This window comes from Homo sapiens, chromosome X, assembly GCF_000001405.40.
Source record: "Homo sapiens chromosome X, GRCh38.p14 Primary Assembly".
Taxonomy (NCBI): domain Eukaryota; kingdom Metazoa; phylum Chordata; class Mammalia; order Primates; family Hominidae; genus Homo; species Homo sapiens.
Genome location: NC_000023.11, coordinates 103,897,938 through 103,920,370, shown reverse-complemented (window position 1 = coordinate 103,920,370; position 22,433 = coordinate 103,897,938). Strand labels below are relative to the sequence as shown.

General features: G+C 43.7%; 1 protein-coding gene, 1 long non-coding RNA gene and 2 pseudogenes across 4 annotated transcripts in view, besides 1 other annotated feature; 3 read left to right on the top strand and 1 right to left on the bottom strand.

The window, feature by feature from the left end:
• TMSB15B (thymosin beta 15B) overlaps positions 1-1,216 on the bottom strand; it is a 55,272-nt gene extending 54,056 nt beyond the window's left edge. For both annotated transcript variants that reach the window (NM_001350213.2, NM_001350211.2), the window contains exon 1: positions 1,079-1,216. The gene's annotated coding sequence lies outside the window, so the exon portion shown is untranslated. The remainder of the gene's footprint in view (positions 1-1,078) is intronic.
• Positions 808-897: an enhancer, noted in NCBI's record as "active region_29824". NCBI's record gives its function as "activates an Ori minimal core promoter by ATAC-STARR-seq in GM12878 lymphoblastoid cells {active_cell/tissue: GM12878}" and the evidence as "EXISTENCE:reporter gene assay evidence [ECO:0000049][PMID:35858748]".
• TMSB15B-AS1 (TMSB15B antisense RNA 1) overlaps positions 823-22,433 on the top strand; it is a 37,802-nt gene continuing 16,191 nt past the window's right edge. The window contains exons 1-4 of one of the 2 annotated variants that reach the window (NR_146557.1): positions 823-946; positions 1,291-1,539; positions 1,911-1,962; positions 2,146-2,284. This is a non-coding gene — a long non-coding RNA (TMSB15B antisense RNA 1). Of the gene's footprint in view, positions 947-1,290; positions 1,540-1,910; positions 1,963-2,145; positions 2,961-22,433 lie in introns of those variants that run through there. The other variant, NR_146556.1, reaches the window with a different exon arrangement.
• ELF2P1 (ELF2 pseudogene 1) lies at positions 9,005-11,947 on the top strand (annotated as a pseudogene).
• Positions 15,617-16,049, top strand: H2BP9 (H2B histone pseudogene 9; annotated as a pseudogene).

Below are 22,433 nucleotides of genomic sequence, written 5' to 3'. Positions count from 1 at the left end.
CTCTTTACCTGTAGTCCTAGTACATCAAAATCCCCCAGGGGTAAGGCCCAGGAATCTGCATTTATAACAAGCTCTCCAAAATGATTCTGAGGCAGCCCACTTTTTACTCACTTTAGTTAATAGTATGAGTTCTGGATTCAGAGATTCGGTCCAAATTTTGGCTTCACCTTGTAATTTCAGACAAATCATTTTACCTCTCTGAGCCTTGCCTCCCTTGGCGTCACAAAGGGCTGTCGAAATTATGTTGCTTTTATAAAAAGGGCAGCTTTTTGTAGTATAAAAAAAAGTATTTTTAAAAAAACGAAGGAAAGAAGAGTGCCAAGAAGAGTTTCCTCTTCTGTACAATGGGCACCATAAAGGTTGCCTTCATCTTCCCTCAGCCCTCTCCCTACTACCTCCTCACCCCCTCCCTCAGCACTATCATCACATTGAGACTGCTGTTGAGATGGTTTGAGACTACCTGTGCAAAAGTGCTCTTCAGACAATGCTGCAGGGCAAACAATTAGCATCTAGAGAGCAACATACAGGTGCTAAGTTGGATGCTGTAACTTCTTTGCTGCGGGATACAGTGCAAGACGCTTAACCTCTCTGTCTTTGGCTCAGTTTCTTCATCTGTGAAATGGAGATAACAGTTCTTGCTCACTAATTCTATGCAGTCCCAAGTTGGTCCTCCCATCCTGGCTTTGGTTTTTCTCCGCTATCCCTTAATCTAACAGAATAGAGGAGTGTTGGCAAGGGGTAGCCTTTGAAGTCAGATATGTTGACTTGGGAGTGAGCTCTTAGCTCTGCACTTCCTAACTGTACCGCCTGGGTGTTTCAGTCCTTTCCTGTTAAGTGGGCACACTGCTACCTCCTTCACAGGGCTGCTGAGAAGAAAGGAGACAGGCGCATCCGCACACAGAAAGCACTCAGTAAATGCTGTTTCCCCCCTTCCCCCTATACAAAGGTAAGGAACTCTCATTGTTCACTTGGTTTCTGTCCCACCTCGTGTTTCAGGCATCCGGTCTCAAAGCCCGGAGCAGAGCCGAGGCGGAAGGGGATGGGGAGAAGGGAAGCGACGGGGTAGCAGCAAACTCACAGATGAAAGGGAAATGGGCCTGGTCCGTGCGTCCGAGCTCCACTTGACGCCGCGCCGGCTCCCGTGCCTGTCGGCCTCAGCCCCCGCCAGCCAGCTCCCGAGTCTTGCTAGCAGTAGCTTCAGGGCCAGAGGCTGCTTGGGTAGGCCGCCTCCTCGCCCCGCTGATTGGCCGCGTCGCGCGGCTTGTCACGCTCTTTTGTCTCAATGGGCAGAGACTGAAAGCAACCGCGGCTGCCCGGAGGTCCGAACTGGAGGGTGGCCGCAGCCGTGACTTCCTTGGGAACCGCGCTGCCTCGACTCGGCTACCTCTCTGCGAAGCACTCGCTAAGCCGGGCAGCCCCGGGGTCGCTTAGCGGCCCAGGAGGCGCCAGCGATCCTGTTCCCCTGCAGAGCTATGGGGACCGGAAGGCGAAACAGAGCTGTCGACGCGGGAGCATACGCTGCCCACCAGTGGAGCGCAGGTAAAGAAAGAGCGCGCGATTTCCCGGCGCGGAGAGGGGTGGGGGAAGCCCCACCAGGACTGGGCGGCGCCCGGCTTGGAGAATCAGTAACTGCGAGGCAGGGGATGGAGCACTCCCATGGCCTGGTTGCGCTGAGAAAGGAGTTGTGGCTCATCTGGATGCTGCCGACTGGGTAGGATTTATGATTTGCCTGGATTGAAGTGGGCGGGGGTGTTGTCGGGCGTCGGGGGCGGGTGTTCGGGGAGGTGGCAAGGGGCGGGAGAAGACGATCGCAAGCTGTCTTGAACCCCTTTTGCATCTCCTCATCTCTTCCTGGGAAGGAATATGGGGGTGGGAGGTCATCCAACTTCTAGTCCCTTTCTCTCCGGCAGGTCATCAAAGCCGAATCCGAATTTGAATTCTGTGCGGCTGATTGCAGAGCTGGTAGGCCGACGGTTTCCCGCAGGAAATGTACGGGGGGCGGGAGTGCAGGAGGCACTTTGGCTTGTGTTCAGAAGATGGGAGAGGGAATTTTCCGCCTGGCGACAGAGGAGGCGGTGGAGGGGAGGTATCAGGTTTTCAGAAGAGGCTGCTCCCAACCCTTCCTTTCCTTCCTTCGCGGCACAGTCTTGAGGCCCTGAGGACTGGGATCTGCGACCCCCAGTGGACAAAAGTCGACTCTACCCCAGAGGCTAATTTTCTCAAGGCAGGCACCTGTTGAGAGGCTGCAAGTAAAATACAGGGGAACGCTAGTTTCCGAGCTCATGTAAGAATCTGAGAAATAACGGGGGTAAACTTTGACAAAGGGGTGTGTGATTGAGACCTGAGGTCATGAGATTAATGGGTTCTTATTACCTCTTGCGGGGGGAGGTAGTAAAGGGGAGGGGCAGGTGGCCTGTGGCGTCCTGAAGATTTTTCATGCATTCTTTTTCCGAGAACTAAACATTGTCAACTCTAATATATCTATAGCGCAACTTGCTTCAAGGACAGTAATAATTTTCATTTAATAATTTTCCATTTAATCCCTTTACTACATGGTCATTTCTGTCTCTTATATTCCTAGGTTTCCCTTTATAAGGATTAGTCAGATCAACATTATATCTCTAACAATGTTCCTTAGCTTTTTCACTCTCATTATACCTAGAGAATTTAATGGAATAAACCAGATTTTATATATATATATATATATATATATATATATATATATAAATGTGTGTGTGTGTGCGTGTGTGTGTGTATAAAATTACTCAACATTCAAGTAGTCTTGAAAAAAGATGGGTAGGAGTCACCTTCTTTCCCTTCATCAGTTACCAGTGTTCTCTTAACATAATGGAAGAGGCAGGAGGTATTCCCACCTACAACTCAGGATTCCTATGTCCTATGGGTTCAGTTGTGTCCCCCCCCCCAAAAAAAAACACCAAATACATCTATTGGACTCCTGACCCCTCGTCTCTCTCCTACTTGAAGATGGGTTTTTTAGTGGGATACTGAAGTTAAATTACATTCATTAGGGTGGGCTCTAACTCGAAATGGCTAGCGTGCATTGTGCCTATCAAAAGGGGAAATTCAGACAAAGAGACATGTGTACAGGGAAGAAAATGTGAAGTAGCATACAGAGAAGTGGGCCATCTACAAGCTGAGGAAAAATCCCTGGAAGAGATCCTTCCCTCTTATTACTCAGAAGGAAACAACCCAGCTGACGCTTTGATTTGGACTTCCAACCTCCAGAACTGTGAACAATTAATGTCTGCTGTTTAGGCCACCCAGGTCTGTGGTACATTGTCAGGCTAACAGAGCAAACCAATAGGGATTCTGTTGCCAGACAGATCTGATAGCTAACACCTGAAAGAGTGGAAGCAGCTTTGGAACTAGATAATGGATAGAGACTGGAAGCATTTTGACATGCATGGCACAAGAAGCCTAGAGGGCCTTTAGGAGATGGCTGGGGGAAATATGGACACCAAATGCAATTCAAGTGAGGGTTAAGAAAAGAATTATTTGCTGCAGACAAAGGATCTCTGACTTAGAGAATACATATATCATGATCACCGATATGTTGCTAGAGCTATGAGTGTTAAAGGTGCTTGTGGTGAGTTATGAGACCGAAACTAGGAAGATGTTACTGGAAGCTTGAGGAAAGGCAATCCTAGTTTTACAGTGGCAAAGGTTTGGTCTGTATTGTTTTCTTAGTGTTTTTGAGGAAAGTAAAAATTGTAAGTGATGAACTTGCACATGCAGCTGACTTCTATTGTTGGGGCTCAGAGCATGATACCCCAAAATAAAGGCCCCAGAAGTAGTCTCGGATGTAAAAGATGTTCTCTGAGGTCCTGGGTCCTCCTGTCTGTCAGCCCCATTCTTCCCAGGGAGCTAACTGTACAGACCAGAATCCCTCTTCCCCAAGGTGGGTCCTAGAAACCAGAAGCCTTTTTTTCTAAAGATAGTCACAAAGCCTAAAAATACTTTTCTAATTTTTCCTCCACCTTTTTTGTGTAAAACTGGTCATAAAGAAATGATCTGACCTTGTTTGACTGCAGGTCACAAGACCCCATTACAGAGAGGGTCCTGCCCCATACCCAGGAGGAAGAAATCTGTGTTCACAGAAGCCAAGCACAGTCTAGACAAACAAGCCCTGCTGGATTAGCATTAGGTCTTAGCCTTTTTGTCCCATCATATTTCTACAGGGCTGTCCATACTTTGTTGAACCTGAGCATATAAATAGACAATTTACCCTGTACCTTTCTGCCTTTGCTCCGAAGGCTGCAGTGTATATATGTTAAATAAATTTGTATGCTTTTTTTTTTTTTGAGACGGAGTCTCGCTCTGTCACCCAGGCTGGAGTGGTGCAATCTCTGCTCACTGCAACCTCCCCCTCCCAGGTTCACACCATTCTCCTGCCTCAGCCTCCCAAGTAGCTGGGACTACAGGCGCCCGCCACCACGCCGGGCTAATTTTTTGTATTTTTAGTGGAGACGGGGTTTCACCGTGTTAGCCAGGATGGTCTCGATCTCCTAACCTCGTGATCCGCCTGCCTCAGCCTCCCATAGTGCTGGGATTACAGGTGTGAGCCACTGCGCCCGGCCTTGTATGCTTTTTCTCTTGTTAATCTGCCTTTTGTGAGTTGATTTCTTAGCAAACCTTCACACAATTTGGTATAGCAAGAAGGGTCACCAAAGCCACTCCACTCTTCTGGAACCTGAAGTTAAGGGAATGCAGTCATCTGACAAGGTGGCAAAAGGGCAAGAATTTCTTACCAGTCAGGCCCCCAGCTTCTCTCTCTGTACAACCCAGTTGGGCAGATGGTACAAAACAAATCCCTCTGTTTGTCTCCTCTACAAGGTTTCATGCCTAGGAGAAAAAGATTGTTGTGTGACTGGTCTAGGTGTAGCAACTCTGGTACACCTTACACTACTTTGTGGTATGAATATTCACATTTTTTATCCCTTTCATGCCAGAAACAGTGTATTCCTTTGACTTTGTCTTTCTGTGTTGTTCATAGAGAGGGTTACAGGATAAAGTTCCCTCTTGTCTTGATCTGTGTTCTTGAGAGCTTGATTTGTGAGCAAGAGGAAGCACTCTCTCTTGCTTGCCACCATCCAGGGGAAGTGATTTTTGGGTCAAAGCAGGTGTCTGGTCTAACAAATCTCTTCGCTGGGAAGCGGAGAGATTTTATTTTGTTCTGAATGTGCCTAGCTCTCGGCAGGATTTGTCATAAGAAGTCTCATCCATAAGGGGCTTTTGTCATCTCAAACTTTATTGTCTCGAGCAAGGATCACCAACCCATAATCCAGGTATTGATACAGGTCCGTGGCCTGTTAGGAACCGGGCCGTTTCAGCAGCAGGTGAGCATCAGCGAGCAGCAGAAGTTTCATCTATATTTACATCCACTCACCACTACTGGCATTACCGCCTGAGCTCTGCCTCCTGTCAGGTCAGCAGCATTAGAGTTTCATAGGAACGAGAACCCTTTGGTGAACTGTACATGTGAGGGATCTTCAGTTGCACACTCCTTATGGGAATCTATTGCCTGATAATATGTCATCCTCTCCTATCACTCTTAGATGGGACCGTCTAGTTGGAAGAAAACAAGCTCAGGGCTCCCACTGATTCCACATTATGGTTAGTTGTATAAGTATTTCAATATATATTACAATGTAATAATAATAGAAATAAAGTGTGCAATTAATGTAATGCCCTTGAATCATCCCAATACCATCCCCTCAATGCCAGTCCATGGAAAAATTGTCTTCCAAGAAAATGCCAGAAAGGTTGGGGACCGCTGGTCTAGCTAGCGAGTGCTGGTAAACAGCAATCCCAGGAGTCATTTGTTACTTTTAGCCTATGTCTGGGAACAGGGGGAATCTTTGGGATTACTTGTTCTCTGAAAAGCCTATTGCATCCAGTCACTATTGAAATTCAGTACACTATTAAGAATTATAATTGTCAATGGCCAAAAGATCGATCCCTTAAATTAGCCTCCTCAATTTTATTAAAAGGATTTTAGAGAGTTCTTATACTAACTGATTGATAGAAAGGTTAAATGTATAAAAAGACACATAATGGTGTGACAGCTAGCCTTAAAACTCTTCTTGATAAAAGTAAAGAGCAAAAAATCTGACCTAAAGAAAGTTAAACTCTTGTGTCTGCTCAAACTGCCCCTGTGGGAATAAAAACAAAGGCCACTTCACCTTGCAGCCTTTGAGTTCAAATTCTGCGCTTTCACCTCGACATCATGGGTTGCATTCCTGATCAGGAAACCATCCCTTCATGGTTTAATGTTTGTGTGACTTTTGGAGAGTACCAATTTCTTATTGACCCTTTTCCCTTCCTTGGATATCTTTTGATTTCCTGTCTTCCATCTGCGACGGGAGCACGAGCACATGAGGCTCTTTGGCCATTGTGTGTAGATAGCTGAGAATCTAAAACCTTAGAAAAGTTAGCGGGACAAACATGTGGTTTTATCTTCTAGGTGTAGAAGAATTCCTGGAATGCATAGCTTGCCATAGCTGAGGGTGGGCAGGGTTGAGTACAGCCTGCTCTCTCAGCACAACTGTGCCTGAAATGTGAGCGGTGTGGAGAGCTGGAGACTCAGACAAAAACAGGTGAAGGAAAGGCTCTTCAAGGGGTCCAACGCACTTCCCTAGCCCCTGTTTTGTCCCACACCACAGCCCAGGTTCTTGCTGCAGAGGGAGCCCAGCTGAGCCTAGGATCCAGGCTGCTTCTGCGAACCTGAAGTCCCCCAGGACACAGCGGGGCCTTGGGGCTTTTGAAGGAAGCAAGTGGCCAAGGGTGTGAAAGTCATGAGAAACCCGAGCTTAACCACTGGGTGATTGTGCACGGTCAAGAATTTCATCATGATGAGGCATAGGAAGGAACCTAATTAATATCCAGGGAAGCCACCCACAGGAAGGAATTTCTTTCCCAGAAAGCTAGTATGATTTAATATTAGAAAATCTATAAACATGATTTATATGAATAAACCAAGAAATTTTTTTAAAAAATGTAAATCTCAAAGGTTGCTAAAATGGCATGTGTGAATATTTGGTATCTCTTACTTTACCTAAAATGCCTAGAAAAGAAAAGATGCTACTGACCTCAAACAAAAGCCCAACACCATGTTTGAGGATGAAATGCTACTGACATTCATATGGGAGTCAGGAAGGTGACAAAAAAGCTTTCTATCAGCGGTATGATTTCAAAGTCTTGATGAATATTGGGCATTGGACTTTTAAAAAGGCTTAACCACTAAAACGGGGGCTCAGTGTTTTCAATTGATCTGATTCTCTTGCAAATGATTAAATAGCTAGAACAGTTTTTCTCAAGACAACTTTACACTTCTAAAAACTAGTAGGAACCCCAAAATCTTTTCTGTAAGTTATATCTGCCGATATTTACTTCAAAATTATTATAACAGAAATTTTGATGAATTTATTTTAAAATCCACTTTAAAGTAATACTTAAAAATCTATCACCGCCGGGCGCGGTGGCTCACGCCTGTAATCCCAGCACTTTGGGAGGCCGAAGCAGGTGGATCACGAGGTGAGGAGATCGAGACCATCCTGGCTAACACAGTGAAACCCCGTCTCTACTAAAAACACGAAAAACTTGCCGGGCGTTGTGGTGGGCGCCTGTAGTTCCAGCTACTCGGGAGGCTGGGGCAGGAGAATGGCGTGAACCCGGGAGGTGGAGGTTGCAGTGAGCCGAGATCGCGCCACAGCACTCCAGCCTGGGCAACAGGGCGAGACTCCGTCTCAAAACAAACAAACAAACAAACAAACAAAAAACAACAACAAAAAAAAACCTATCACATCGTGTTAACATAAATTACAAACGCATATGAAAAATATTTTTTCTAAAGCCGTAGAGTGGTGATCAACTTTCTTTTAGATAATTGAAAATCCCCCAGACTTCTCACCTAGGAAAAGTCAGCTGGATTCTTGTAACTGCTTCTGGACGTGATCTGTTGCCACATCACACACAATGAAAGTCGGGAAAATCCCACCATACACGCGAGAGAGCATGAGAGTGAAAAAGGAAAATATGAGTAAAATGAAAACATGCCCATGAACGAGAACCTAGAAAAATAACTAATAAAAATGACCATTTAGGAAACTGAAGAAATGCTCCACGACTGTGGAAAATCCACCACATTCTCTTGGAGCAAACTGCGCTATAGATATATGAGAGCAGACAATATTTGGTTCACGGAAAAGAATGCACGAAAAATGTGCAGGACACCACACGCCCCCTTCCCCCACCCCCGGCTCCAAACTGGAAGTCACTTTTGGCCAGTGACTGTGGCTCAGAGACTGTAATTCGGTCATTGGCTGAGCCAGAGGAGACAGGAGTGTGAACAAAAGTTCTCTGAAAAGGAATTTGGAGGACAGAGCTCTTTTTTTTTTTTTTTTTTTTTTTTGAGACGGAGTCTCGCTCTGTCGCCCAGGCCGGACTGCGGACTGCAGTGGCGCAATCTCGGCTCACTGCAAGCTCCGCTTCCCGGGTTCACGCCATTCTCCTGCCTCAGCCTCCCGAGTAGCTGGGACTACAGGCGCCCGCCACCGCGCCCGGCTAATTTTTTGTATTTTTAGTAGAGACGGGGTTTCACCTTGTTAGCCAGGATGGTCTCGATCTCCTGACCTCATGATCCACCCGCCTCGGCCTCCCAAAGTGCTGGGATTACAGGCGTGAGCCACCGCGCCCAGCCGAGGACAGAGCTCTTGTTGTGCCAGTGAACACTTGGCAATCCCTGGAGAGGCTGCTTTGGCTATGAAACCAATGACACTGAAGGGAGTGGTAGGGTTTAATGTGAACAGTCCCTCCGAACTTCCTAATAAAGTCCATTTATGCAAACGAAGGATTGAAATTGCTGAGCTCTGATTGGCCTGCACAACTGAGCTCTGATTGGCCAATGCCACTGAGCCCTGATTGGTTGATAGAGCCTAGCTCTGACTGTCTGGTTCTGGTGTACTCTGGCAAAGCCTCAATGTTGAAAAATATTTGTCCAGGTATATTACATGGGCTCAGGGAGAAAAAGGCATATTTAAGCCTCTGTATTCAAACACTAATCTGTAAGCTTTGGGAAAAGTATAAGAACAAGCCAGACATGAATTATGAAGCCAGGGGATGTGCTTTGAGATCCTACTACCATAGGGAAATTCTTGCAAAGGCTGAAGGACAGAGGCTTGTATATCAGTGCAAGGATATGCCCTCAAACAGATTGGTCATAGATAATGACAAACGCCAGACTTGTAATGAAGGTTTAGCAGCAGCTTCTGATGCAAGTCATTAAAACCAGTGTCACCGTCTGCAGAGAGTGTCCTAAAAGCAGCAACTTCTGTCCGTGGTGGAAATAACTCATATCCTATAAACTTCTCCAGAGCAGAGAAGGGTGTATCTGGAGTTGTGAATATCATTTCCCCTGGTCACCATGTTTCCTCCAGGTCTCCTACTACTACCAAATCTGTATCAGCAACAGCAGCAGCTCCAAGGACAGTATGTGTGGCAATGCAAGTACCTGCTGTCATGACATCAGAAAATTTCAACTATGGCGGTTGAGTCAGTTAATGTAGGTGCACCATTAATAACTACCACTAGTCCGACAGCAGCAGCCTCACCAAAGGTTCATTCAGGCAAACCCTACTGGGATGCCAGCTTCTACTGAAAACGGAGACAAAATCACCATTCAGCCTGCCAAACTCATTACCATCCCTGCTACACATCCAAGTCTGCACAGTGTAAGTAGCAGACGAAGTCAAGTCTGACTAAATCATTAACATCGTTGGAAACCCCCGGCTGTGAGAGCACTTACCACTGTTTCAATAGTGCATGGTACACCTTTAATGGGACTATCACTGCCTACTCAACAGGCATCTGGCCAGACTCTTCTTGAAGTTGTCAGTGCAGTCATAAAAGGTTGAATCAGAATCCATGGAAAACCAGTAGAAAGATGATGTGGAGACTGCAACTGGTAGAAGAGAAACCAGCAGATGAAATAAGACAGTGACCCAAGTAGCGGTTGTCAGTGAGACTTCTGCTATTGCCTTTCGAGTAACTAACTATAAGAACAGAAATACTATTGACATGTGAGAAATAAAATGACAGGCCCACCATAGATTTCAGACTGTGAGTGGTAGTACTGACATAAACACTTGCAAGGGAAGTCATCAAGAAAAGTCAAAGAAGACTTTAAAACATTTTAATGCATATAAGAAAACAATGAAACTTACCGGAAATAAGTTATCTATCCCATGTGTCAATGAGAAATGAACTACATGCATTGAGATGCTGACAGAAACCTCCCTCTTACAGTAGGAAAACAACTGAACCCTTCAATAAGAAAAAGGATTGAAAGGGACCAGGCAGCACACTACTATCTCAAGTTATGCTAAGATTTGAAACACTGACATTCTGCAAGAGGTTATACAGTTTTCAGTGGGGAGGGGTTGGGATAGGTGATCTCATTGTTACACATAGCAACTTTTAATGCATTTTATATGCATATTAGCAAGTATTACTGTGTTCTCACACTACTCACTTAACTTGTGCTATGTGAAGGCTCTGCTAATACAGGTGTTTTTTAAAAAACTCTACAAAGACTTTATTTTTTAATGATGAAATTCTAATGATCTTATCACTAGATTCAAAATTAAAATGGGCTTATGGATATTGTTTTCTTAATTCGGTGGTGATTGGGACTTTCAAAGATGCTTTATCTAGGTTTCCTGTTAGGAAATCTAGAAAGAGTCATGATTTTAATCCCCCTATTAATTTTCTCAGTAATTAGTTGTCAAAAATGAAAATATTCATGAATGATGAGTACACAGAATACAGAAAACCTAGTGAAAAGCCTGAAAGAGAAAATAAATGAACAGCAGAGTCCTGTGGGAGTTCTATGCCGGTGCTACATTATCTGATTTTCCTCATAATTCACCAAGAAGAACCAGCGGAACTTCACCACCAAGGGGCTGCAGTTGGTGATGGTAACCTAGCGAATGACCTCAGTATTGTTCAGGATGCAGCCAAAATCCAGCTCCATCATCTCAAAGCTGAGGTTGGGGTAATGCACTCATCCATGCAGGTCCAGGCTGTCTACTGAGGGTGTTCCACATACTTAATTGCTAGAATTTCTTCTGCCACCCAGTTGTTCAGATCGTTTCTGTAGGAGGGTTCAAACTTGATCAGCAGGGTTTTTTTTTTCTTCATCAATTTCTAGTTTTATAGGCCACAAAGATAATGGGGGAAATTACCAACTTTTGTACTATGCATTTTCACCCAGTACAAGTATTTTAGAATGTGAATTGAAGAATGGATCCAAAAGCTTCAGAAAGTGGAAAGCACAAAAGAGAAAGAAAGAAAGAAAGAAGGAGAAAAGATCCACTGCAAATAAAAAAAATATGTATCATATGGCTTAAGTTGATTTAAAACAAAGGCCTTAAACTAATTTTTAGGGTTTTTTTTTCTTGAAATGAGCTAATGGCTTGTTTGTGTAAAGCTTTTCCATTAAAACAAAAAAATTTTTAAAATCTTGTACATAACACAGTATTGTTGTAGAATTCATATGAAACATTTTATATGGTAAAGTCAACTAGCTCCCTAATTGTGGACAAATTAACAGTTGGTTCCTGTTCTTTTGCTATAACATACTTGTGCCACCCATGTAGCCCTGGCATCTGTGCAGACACATCAGTTTCAGTTCCACTGTCACTTGGAAGATCAGGTTCAGCATCAGTTTTTGTCAGGTAGCTCTAATACCTGGAGTTTTCTTTCTTTTCTTTTTTACTTAGTTGAAGTTTAAGAGGAAAAGTACCAGTTTTCAGATTTGAACTATCATAGTTTGTATATTCAACAAACTATTTGAAGTATATTGTGTTTTGGTTTGCTCTTGTTTCAAAGTGTATCCAAGTAGGATTCCTGAAATATAGAAAAGAAACTTGTAAATAAATGAATGGCTGGTAAGTATCCAAAATTAGGGAGATAAATGATTCACTAAACTTAGGAAGCACACCTGGACACATCATAGTAAAGCTACAGCATAATGATAAACAAATATCATAATAGCATAAAATAGATACATTGCCTATAAACGAGTACAAAATAGACAGCAGGTATCTATACATCAACAAATGGAGGCCAAAAAGGAAAAAATAGCTGTCATGCTAGAGTTGCATTCCTAGCCAAACATCATTTAAGAAGTAAGCTGTGACAGACATGCAGGTAGATCGCCCCAAACCCCCTTCAAGGACAGATTTTCTGCTTCAGCTGCTGGGACAGCAGTTGGATGCCAGTCATCAGCCATCAGTTCCTTCAGGTATGACCCGAGCTGCAGGAGCTGCCTTGCCCAAGGTCACGCACTTGCAGAGACTGACCACATCCAAGGACTGATCCAAGAGGAGGCACAAACATCTGGCTTGCTCTGCCCAAGGTGGAATGATTCTGATGGGCCATTTTTACCTTCAGAGCTCCCCTTGGGATCCGAAGAGGCTTTGGTTGGGCCTGCAGTATGGATGCACTTCTCTCTGTGCCCACTCCTGCTTCCCTCCCTTCCATTCCTCAGGGGTTAATTCTAAGTAAATGTCATGCACACTAAAATCCATCTCAGAGTCTGTTTCCTGTGGATCCCAATCTGAAAAGACATTTCTAACTAGTAAAGTAGCAGTATTTACACCAGTGAACTTCACCTTCAAAGAACGCAGGAAGAACATACTTTAGGCGGATGGAAAGTGATCACAAAAAGATAATCTGAGATGCAAGAAGGAATGGTAATGGGCTACATTAGCAAACAGGAGTAACAAAAAAATCAGAGAATGTGCAGAACCGTTCTCATACTGACAAAACTTATTTTGGTGACTAAAGAAACTAGATAAGACTAAATAAAGCTACTATGCATCACTCAGATGATGGGAGAATCCAATGACAGCAGCTCACGCCCCTGGAAACATATTTGAATGTCAAAGAGCCAATCCTTTAAGATGGATCACAAGTGGCTAACTGGACCTAAATTCAAATGGAGCCAAGCGGCCATTTGCTGACTAGAGGTCACACATGTACTCTGAGTTCCCAGAAAACTCACACCTCTGTTCAACTTTGGGGCTTCCAGAGCACACCAGAACCAGCCAATCAGAGCTAGGCTCTATCAACAAATCAGGGATCAGCATCATTGACCAATCAGAGCTCAGCTGTGCAGGCCTATCAGAACTCAGTGATTTCAATCCTTCATTTGCATAAATGGGCTTTATTAGGGAGTTCAGAGGGAATGAACTTTAAACCCTACCACTCACTATTAAATCCTACCACTCCCTTCAATGCAATTGTTTTCACACCCAAGACAGCCTCTCCCAGGGTTGCCAAGTATTCACTGGCACAAGTGTTCTGTCCTCCAAATTCCTTTTCAGAGAACTTTTGTTCACACTCCTGTCTCCACTGGCTCAGCCAATGACGGAATTACAGTCTCTGAGCCACAGTCACTGGCCAAAAGTGTACAGAGGTGACCCAGGATGCCTCGGTTTGGATATGATTTGTTTGTCCCCACCCAAAAACATGTTGAAGTGTGATCCCCAATGCAGCTGATGTGGGCAGATCATGAGGGGCAGATCTCTCATGACTGGCTTGGTGCCATTCTTCCAGTAATGACTTAGCTCTCACTCTGGAGAAACTGGATTCATTCTCTTGGGAATGCGTTAGTTTCCTCCCCTCTAGAGAGGGTGTTACAAAGCCAGGACATCTCTTGGGTTCTCTTTACACCTGTCCTCTTCCTGTTTTACCTTATCTGCTATATTATGAGGCAGCACGGAAGCCCTCACAGGAGCCAGGGCCATTTCCCTGTGCTTCCCAGCCTACAGAACCATCCACTAAATAAACTGCTTTCCCTTATAAGTTACATAGCCTCGGACATTCTGTTATAGTGACACAAAATGGTTCAAGACACAGGATGAACCAAGAAGACCCTATCTGGGCTGTTCCTGCTGGGGCATAGAGGAGGAAATTGGTGTGTTTGTGTGCTATTTATTTGTTTGCTTGCGTGTTTTAATGATGGCGATTTGAGAATATTAATTCAGGGAATATATGGACATGACCCTTGCCTCCTCCATCCAATGAAGAGCAGGATTTGATTGCTACAATTTCAAGTAGGATTTGTGTACCCCAATTTGTAGAAAGGACTGTTTAGAAGTTTATGTGTGTGTGCTTACCTCACTGGTTTTCTTGCCATGTTATACCTTTTTAGGTAAAAAAGACTTTTTTCCCCCATTGTAATCTGGGACCATTTTACTAACTTCATTGTATTACCAGGAGGATTTGCTTTACCTGAACGGTCTGACAGGGAGCAACCTTGCCAAGACTGGCCATTTTGAATGACACGTCATTGGCATGCTCAATTACTTCCATTACACTTAATACTCAAGTTCGTAAGTCCTGTCTTTGGTTCAATTGCTACAACTTATTCTGAGGTAGACATATTTGAGAAATGTTTTGCATGTAATATCATAAATCCTTTGAATGTTGAAATGTTTCCATTTTATCGATACATTTTTCCTCCCTAAGAAGGTTGCCTTGAGAATCAATTTTTTAAAGAATTTAGGAATTTTAAAAATACTGTAGCTGTTATGTCTATTTGTGGATTCTAACATTTAGAGCACTTTTTAAAAAAGCATCTAAGTATTGTTAAGAATGCAGTTTTAAATGAGAACACATGGACACAGGAAGAGGAACATCACACACCGGGGCCTCTTTTGGGGTGGGGAGAGGGGGGAGGGATAGCATTAGGACATATACCTAATGTTAAATGACAAGTTAATGGATGCAGCACACCAACATGGCACATGTATACATATGTAACAAACCTGCACGTTGTGCACAAGTACCCTAAAACTTAAAGTATAATAAAATAAATAAATAAATCAATAAATGCATACTTACCTGAAAAAAAAAGAATGCAGTTTTGGTCTTGGTAAATGTTGAGTATTTCTAATTTTTTTTAATCAAAGCTCTTTTCTTTTTGTGTTGTCTGCTTGGAGACTGTGGCTTTGTCATTGTTCCTTATCCCCATTCACTGAAGGGGTTGATCAGAACTGAGGACAGGAGCCAAACAGCCAGGTTCTTTTATGCCCAGGAGCCCTTGGCTGCCGTGTCAGGGAGATCCTGCTCAAGCCAGGGTGGCTTAGCCCAGGATAAGAGTAGATTCTGAGATGGGTGAGAAATGGTTCACATGGGGCCATAGTCATTCCTCTGGCATAATGGACTTGGGCTCTGGAGGTCAGGCTCTCTTCAAGGAGCACGAGATGAAATTGCCTCTTTGGGAGTTTTCAGTGACACCCTTCAAAGTGCTCATGTGTGACATGGATCAGCTGAGGTGGGGGGCGGATGAGCTTTCTGCCCTGTGGGGCATCTATCTGTGTAACTTTTTCTGAGGGAGGCAAAGAGACAAGGTGTTTAGGTCGGCCAACGCCCACCGTGACTGGTTGATAAGATGCCAAGCAACAGGACCATCCAAATCACCTTGAACGCTGCGCTGTGTGTCACTTCATCCAATCAGACCTCAAGTTGGCCCACAATGTCAGCCATGTGGTGACTACAAAAGGCCCTCCCACTGGTGATCAGCAGCTTATCTGTTCCTCCTATCCACTGGCAGCTGCCTCCAAGATGGCTGAGCCTTCCTCTGAGATGACCTCCAACAAAGGCCTGAGCACCAAGGAGCCCAAAGCGGCCAATGCCACGATGGCCCACAAGCAGAAGAGGCATGGGCACTCTCACCCCAGCCGCTGCAGGGACAGCTTCACCACCTATTTTCCCCGGGTGCTGAAGCAGGTTCACGCGGGCCTCAGCCTTTCCCCCGAGGCAGTGGATGTCATAGATTCCTTCGTTCACGACATCTTGGAGCACATCGCCACCAAGGCCGGCCACTTGGCCCACTATACCAAGTGCACCACCATCACCTCCTGCGAGATGCAGACCACCATTCGCCTGATGTTCCCGGGGCAGATGGGCAAGCACGCCATATCCAGGGGCTCCAAGACTCTGCTCCACTACACCAGGAGCAAGTGAGCTGCCTCAGGAGCGCCTGAGCACCAAAACCCAAAAGCTCTTTTCAGAGCCACCGCACTTGGCTTGAAAAACCTGTAGCCCACCAAGGGAGGGACCTGCTGGAGGGTGGGGGTGGGTGGCACCCTTTTGATTTGGGGACTGTCGAGGAGGCAGGTGGCCTGTGGCATCCTGACGATTTTTCATGCATTCTTTCCCCGAGAACTAAACATTATCAACTCTGCTTCAGTCTATATATGTGGTGCAGTTTTTCCTTGGAAAATAATTCATTCCATTTAGTGATTTTTCATTTAATCTCTTTACTACATGCATGGTCATTTCTGTAAGTTATATTTCTAAATCACCCTTTATTAGGATCAGTCAGGTCACAATTGTTTTCATAATAAAGTCATTCACCTTAGTCTCTGTCAGTCCTCCACACTTACACAGTATCATTATCCAGAGGGATTTTTTTTGCATTGTATGCAAAATATAAAGTATAAAAGCACATATGAGAATCATGAAATTAGCAATCAAACTTGTCGACTTATCTTAGGGTAATAGTTTATATTTATCAGGAAGATGGAAACAGAAATAGGTAAATCGAGTTTTCAAGAAACAATTTCTGTTTCAAGCAACCATTTCTTTTTCATGCTTTTAGAGTCTCAAATTACTATTCCATTTCATTCACGTTTATCCAGTTCTTCTCGTTTCAAGCCTGTAATCTTTCAAGGTTTAGAATAAAAATTTAAGGTGTGCAATCATGCATGGATGGTGGGACTGCCCAATGATAACAGCCCAAGTCCCAGTCTCCGCTAGCACAGCCAATGAGAGACCTGCAGCCTCTAAACCATAGCCATTGGCCCAAAATGTGGGACGGTTGCTGGAACTAAAGCATTAAGATCTTACTTGTGCAATTCAGCCTTGAGGTTGATTAGAAACAGATTCAATTCTTTGGCTATGGCTGTCAGATTGCTTGTTTTTAATCACGGTGATTTAAGGACATGAATCCAGAGCTGGGAGCAGAACATGCATTTAGCCTCTTGCATCATTTCAAAACAGGAGAAAGGGGAAAGGGTGGCCCCAAGATGGCCGAATAGGAACAGCTCCAGTGTACAGCTCCCAGCATGAGCGAAACAGGAGATGAATGATTTCTGCATTTCCAACTGAGGTACCGGGTGCATCTCACTGGAGATTGTTGGACAGTGGGTGCAGGACAGTGGGTACAGTGCACCGAGCCTGAGCCAAAGCAGGGCAAGGCATCACCTCACCCAGGAAGCACAAGCAGTCAGGGAATTCCCTTTCCTAGCCAAGGAAAGGGATGATGGACAGCACCTGGAAAATCGGGTCACTCCCACCCTAATACTGCGCTTTTCCCATGGTTTTAGCAAATGGCACACCAGGAGATTATATCCTGTGCTTGGCTCTGAGGGTCCTACGCCCACAGAGCCTTGCTCATTGCTAGCACAGCAGTCTAAGATCCAACTGCAAGGCAGCAGCAAGGCTGGGGGAGGGGCGCCCGCCATTGCCGAGGCTTGAGTAGGTAAACAAAGCGGCCGGGATGCTCAAACTGGGTGGAGCCCACTGCAGCTCAAGGAGGCCAGCCTGCCTCTGTAGACTCCACCTCTGGGGGGGGGGCAGGGCATAGCCAAATGAAAAGCAGCAGAAACCTCTGCAGACTTAAATGTCCCTGTCTGACAGCTTTGAAGAGAGCAGTGGTTCTCCCAGCATGCAGCTGGAGATCTGAGAATGGACAGACTGCCTCCTCAAGTAAGTCTCTGACCCCCGAGAAGCCTAACTGGGAGGCAGCCTCCAGTAGAGGCAGACTGACACCTCACATGGCCGGGTACTCCTCTGAGACAAAACTTCCAGAGGAACGATCAGACAGCAACATTTGCTGTTCACCAATATCCACTGTTCTGGAGCCTCTGCTGCTAATACCGAGGCAAACAGGGTCTGAAGTGGACCTCCAGCAGACTCCAACAGACCTGCAGCTGAGGGTCCCAAATGTTGGAAGGAAAACTAACAAACAGAAAGGACATCCACACCAAAACCCCATCTGTATGTCACCATCATCAAAGACCAAAGGTAGATAAAACCACAAAGATGGGGAAAAAACAGCAGAAAAACTGAAAATTCTAAAAATCTAAGCACCTCTCCTCCTCCAAAGGAATGCAGCTCCTCACCAGCAACAGAACAAAGCTGGACAGAGAATGACTTTGACGAGTTGACAGAAGAAGGCTTCAGATGATCAAACTACTCCGAGCTAAAGGAGGAAGTTTGAACCCATGGCAAAGAAGTTAAAAACCTTGAAAAGAGATTAGATGAATGGCTAACTAGAATAACCAATGCAGAGAAGTCCTTAAAGGACCTGATGGAGCTGAAAACCACGGCACAAGAAATACGTGATGAATGCACAAGTCTCAGTAGCCGATTCGATCAACTGGAAGAAAGGGTATCAGTGATGGAAGATCAAATGAATGAAATGAAGCAAGAAGAGAAATTTAGAGAAAAGAGAATGAAAAGAAACGAACAAAGCCTCCAAGAAATATGGGACTATGTGAAAAGACCAAATCTACCTCTGATTGGTGTACCTGAAAGTGACGGGAGAATGGAACCAAGTTGGAAAACACTCTGCAGGATATTATCCAGGAGAACTTCCCCAATCTAGCAAGGCAGGCCAACATTCAAATTCAGGAAATACAGAGAACGCCATAAAGATACTCCTGGAGAAGAGCAACTCCAAGACACATAATTGTCAGATTCACCAAAGTTGAAATGAAGGAAAAAATGTTAAGGGCAGCCAGAGAGAAAGGTTGGGTTACCCACAAAGGGAAGCCCATCAGACTAACAGCTGATCTCTCGGCCAAAACCCTACAAGCCAGAAGAGAGTGGGGGCCAATATTCAACATTCTTAAAGAAAAGAATTTTCAACCCAGAATTTCATATCCAGCCAAACTAAGCTTCATAAGTGAAGGAGAAATAAAATACTTTACAGACAAGCAAATGCTGAGAGATTTTGTCAGCACCAGGATTGCCCTAAAAGAGCTCCTGAAGGAAGCACTAAACATGGAAAGGAGCAACTGGTACCAGCCACTGCAAAAACATGCCAAATTCTAAAGACTATCGAGGCTAGGAAGAAACTGCATCAATAAACAAGCAAAATAACCAGCTAACATCATAATGACAGGATGAAATTCACACATAACAATATTAACCTTAAATGTAAATGGGCTAAATGCTCCAATTAAAAGACACAGATTGGAAATTGGATAAAGAGTCAAGACCCATCTGTGTGCTGTATTCAGGAAACCCATCTCACGTGCAGAGACACTCATAGGCTCAAAATAAAAAGATGGAGGAAGATCTACCAAGCAAATGGAAAACAAAAAAAGGCAGGGGTTGCAATCCTAGTCTCTGATAAAACAGACTTTAAACCAACAAAGATCAAAAGAGACAAAGAAGGCCATTACATAATGGTAAAGGGATCAATTCAACAAGAAGAGCTAACTATCCTAAATATATATGCGCCCAATACAGGAGCACCTAGATTCATAAAGCAAGTCCTGAGTGACCTACAAAGAGAGTTAGACTCCCACAAAATAATCATGGGAGACTTTAACGCCCCACTGTCAACGTTAGACAGATCAACGAGACAGAAAGTTAACAAAGATATCCAGGAATTGAACTCAGCTCTGCACCAAGCAGACCTAATAGACATCTACAGAACTCTCCACCCCAAATCAACAGAATATACATTTTTTTCAGCACCACACCACACCTATTCCAAAATTGACCACATAGTTGGAAGTAAAGCACTCCTCAGCAAATGGAAAAGAACAGAAATTATAACAAACTGTCTCTCAGACCACAGTGCAATCAAACTAGAACTCAGGATTAAGAAACTCACTCAAAACCACTCAACTACATGGAAACTGAACAACCTGCTCCTGAATGACTACTGGGTACATAACAAAATGAAGGCAGAAATAAAGAAGTTCTTTGAAACCAACGAGAACAAAGACACAACATACCAGAATCTCTGGGACACATTCAAAGCAGTGTGTAGAGGGAAATTTATAGCACTAAATGCCCACAAGAGAAAGCAGGAAAGGTCTAAAATTGACACCCTAACATCATAATTAAAAGAACTAGAGAAGCAAGAGCAAACACATTCAAAAGCTAGCAGAAGGCAAGAAATAACTAAAATCAGAGCAGAACTGAAAGAAATAGAGACACAAAAACCCTTCAAAAAATCAGTGAATCCAGGAACTGGTTTTTTGAAAAGATCAACAAAATTGACAGACCACTAGCAAGACGAATAAAGAAGAAAAGAAAGAAGAATCAAATAGATGCAATGAAAAATGATAAAGGGGATATCACCACCAATCCCACAAAAATACAAACTACCATCAGAGAATACTTTAACCACCTCTATGCAAATAAACTAGAAAATATGGAAGAAATGGATAAATTCCTCGACACATACACTCTCCCAAGACTAAACCAGGAAGAAGTTGAATCTCTGAATAGACCAATAACAGGCTCTGAAATTGAGGCAATAATTAATAGCTTACCAACCAAAAAAAGTCCAGGACCACATGGATTCATAGCAAAATTCTACCAGAGGTACAAGGAGGAGCTGGTATCATTCCTTCTGAAACTATTCCAATCAATAGAAAAAGAGAGAATCCTCCCTAACTCATTTTATGAGGCCAGCATCATCCTGATACCAAAGCCGGGCAGAGACACAACAGAAAAAAAGAGAATTTTAGACCAATATCCCTAATGAACATTGATGCAAAAATCCTCAATAAAATACTGGCAAACCGAATCCAGCAGCACATCAAAAAGCTTATCTACCATGATCAAGTGGGCTTCATCCCTGGGATGCAAGGCTGGTTCACCATATGCAAATCAATAAATGTAATCCATCAAATAAACAGAGCCAAAGACAAAAACCACATGATTATCTCAATAGATGCAGAAAAGGCCCTTGACAAAATTCAACAACGCTTCATGCTAAAAACTCTCTATAAATTAGGTATTGATGGGACGTATCTCAAAATAATAAGAGCTATCTATGACAAACCCACAGCCAATATCATACTGAATGGACAAAAACTGGAAGCATTCCCTTTGAAAACTGGCACAAGACAGGGATGCCCTCTCTCACCACTCCTATTCAACATAGTGTTGGAAGTTCTGGCCAGGGCAATCAGGCACGAGAAAGAAATAAAGGGCATTCAATTAGGAAAAGAGGTAGTCAAATTGTCCCTGTTTGCAGATGACATGATTGTATATCTAGAAAACCCCATCGTCTCAGCCCAAAATCTCCTTAAGCTGATAAGCAACTTTAGCAAAGTCTCAGGATACAAAATCAATGTGCAAAAATCACAAGCATTCCTATACACCAATAACAGACAAACAGAGAGCCAAATCATGAGTGAACTCCCATTCACAATTGCTTCAAAGAGAATAAAATACCTAGGAATCCAACTTACAAGGGATGTGAAGGACCTCTTCAAGGAGAACTACAAACCACTGCTCAAGGAAATAAAAGAGGATACAAAGAAATGGAAGAACATTCCATGCTCATGGGTAGGAAGAATCAATATCGTGAAAATGGCCATACTGCCCAAGGTAATTTATAGATTCAATGCCATCCCCATCAAGCTACCAATGACCTTCTTCACAGAATTGGAAAAAACTACTTTAAAGTTCATATGGAACCAAAAAACAGCCTGCTTTGCCAAGTCAATCCTAAGCCAAAAGAACAAAGCTGGAGGCATCAAGCTACCTGACTTCAAACTATACTACAAGGCTACAGTAACCAAAACAGCATGGTACTGGTACCAAAACAGAGATATAGACCAATGGAACAGAACACAGCCCTCAGAAATAATGCCACATATCTAGAACCATCTGATCTTTGACAAACCTGACAAAAAAAAGAAATGGGGAAAAGATTCCCTATTTAATAAATGGTGCTGGGAAAACTGGCTAGCCATATGTAGAAAGCTGAAACTGGATCCCTTCCTTACACCTTATACTAAAATTAATTCACGATGGATTAAAGATTTAAATGTTAGACCTAAAACCATAAAAACCCTAGAAGAAAACCTACACAATACCATTCAGGACATAGGTATGGGCAAGGACTTCATGTCTAAAACACCAAAGGCAATGGCAACAAAAGTCAAAATTGACAAATGGGATCTAATTAAACTAAAGAGCTTCTGCACAGGAAAAGAAACTATCATCGGAGTGAACAGGCAACCTACAGAATGGGAGAAAATTTTTGCAATCTACTCATCTGACAAAGGGCTAATATCCAGAATCTACAATGAACTCAAACAAATTTACAAGAAAAAAACAAATAACCCCATCAAAAAGTGGGCAAA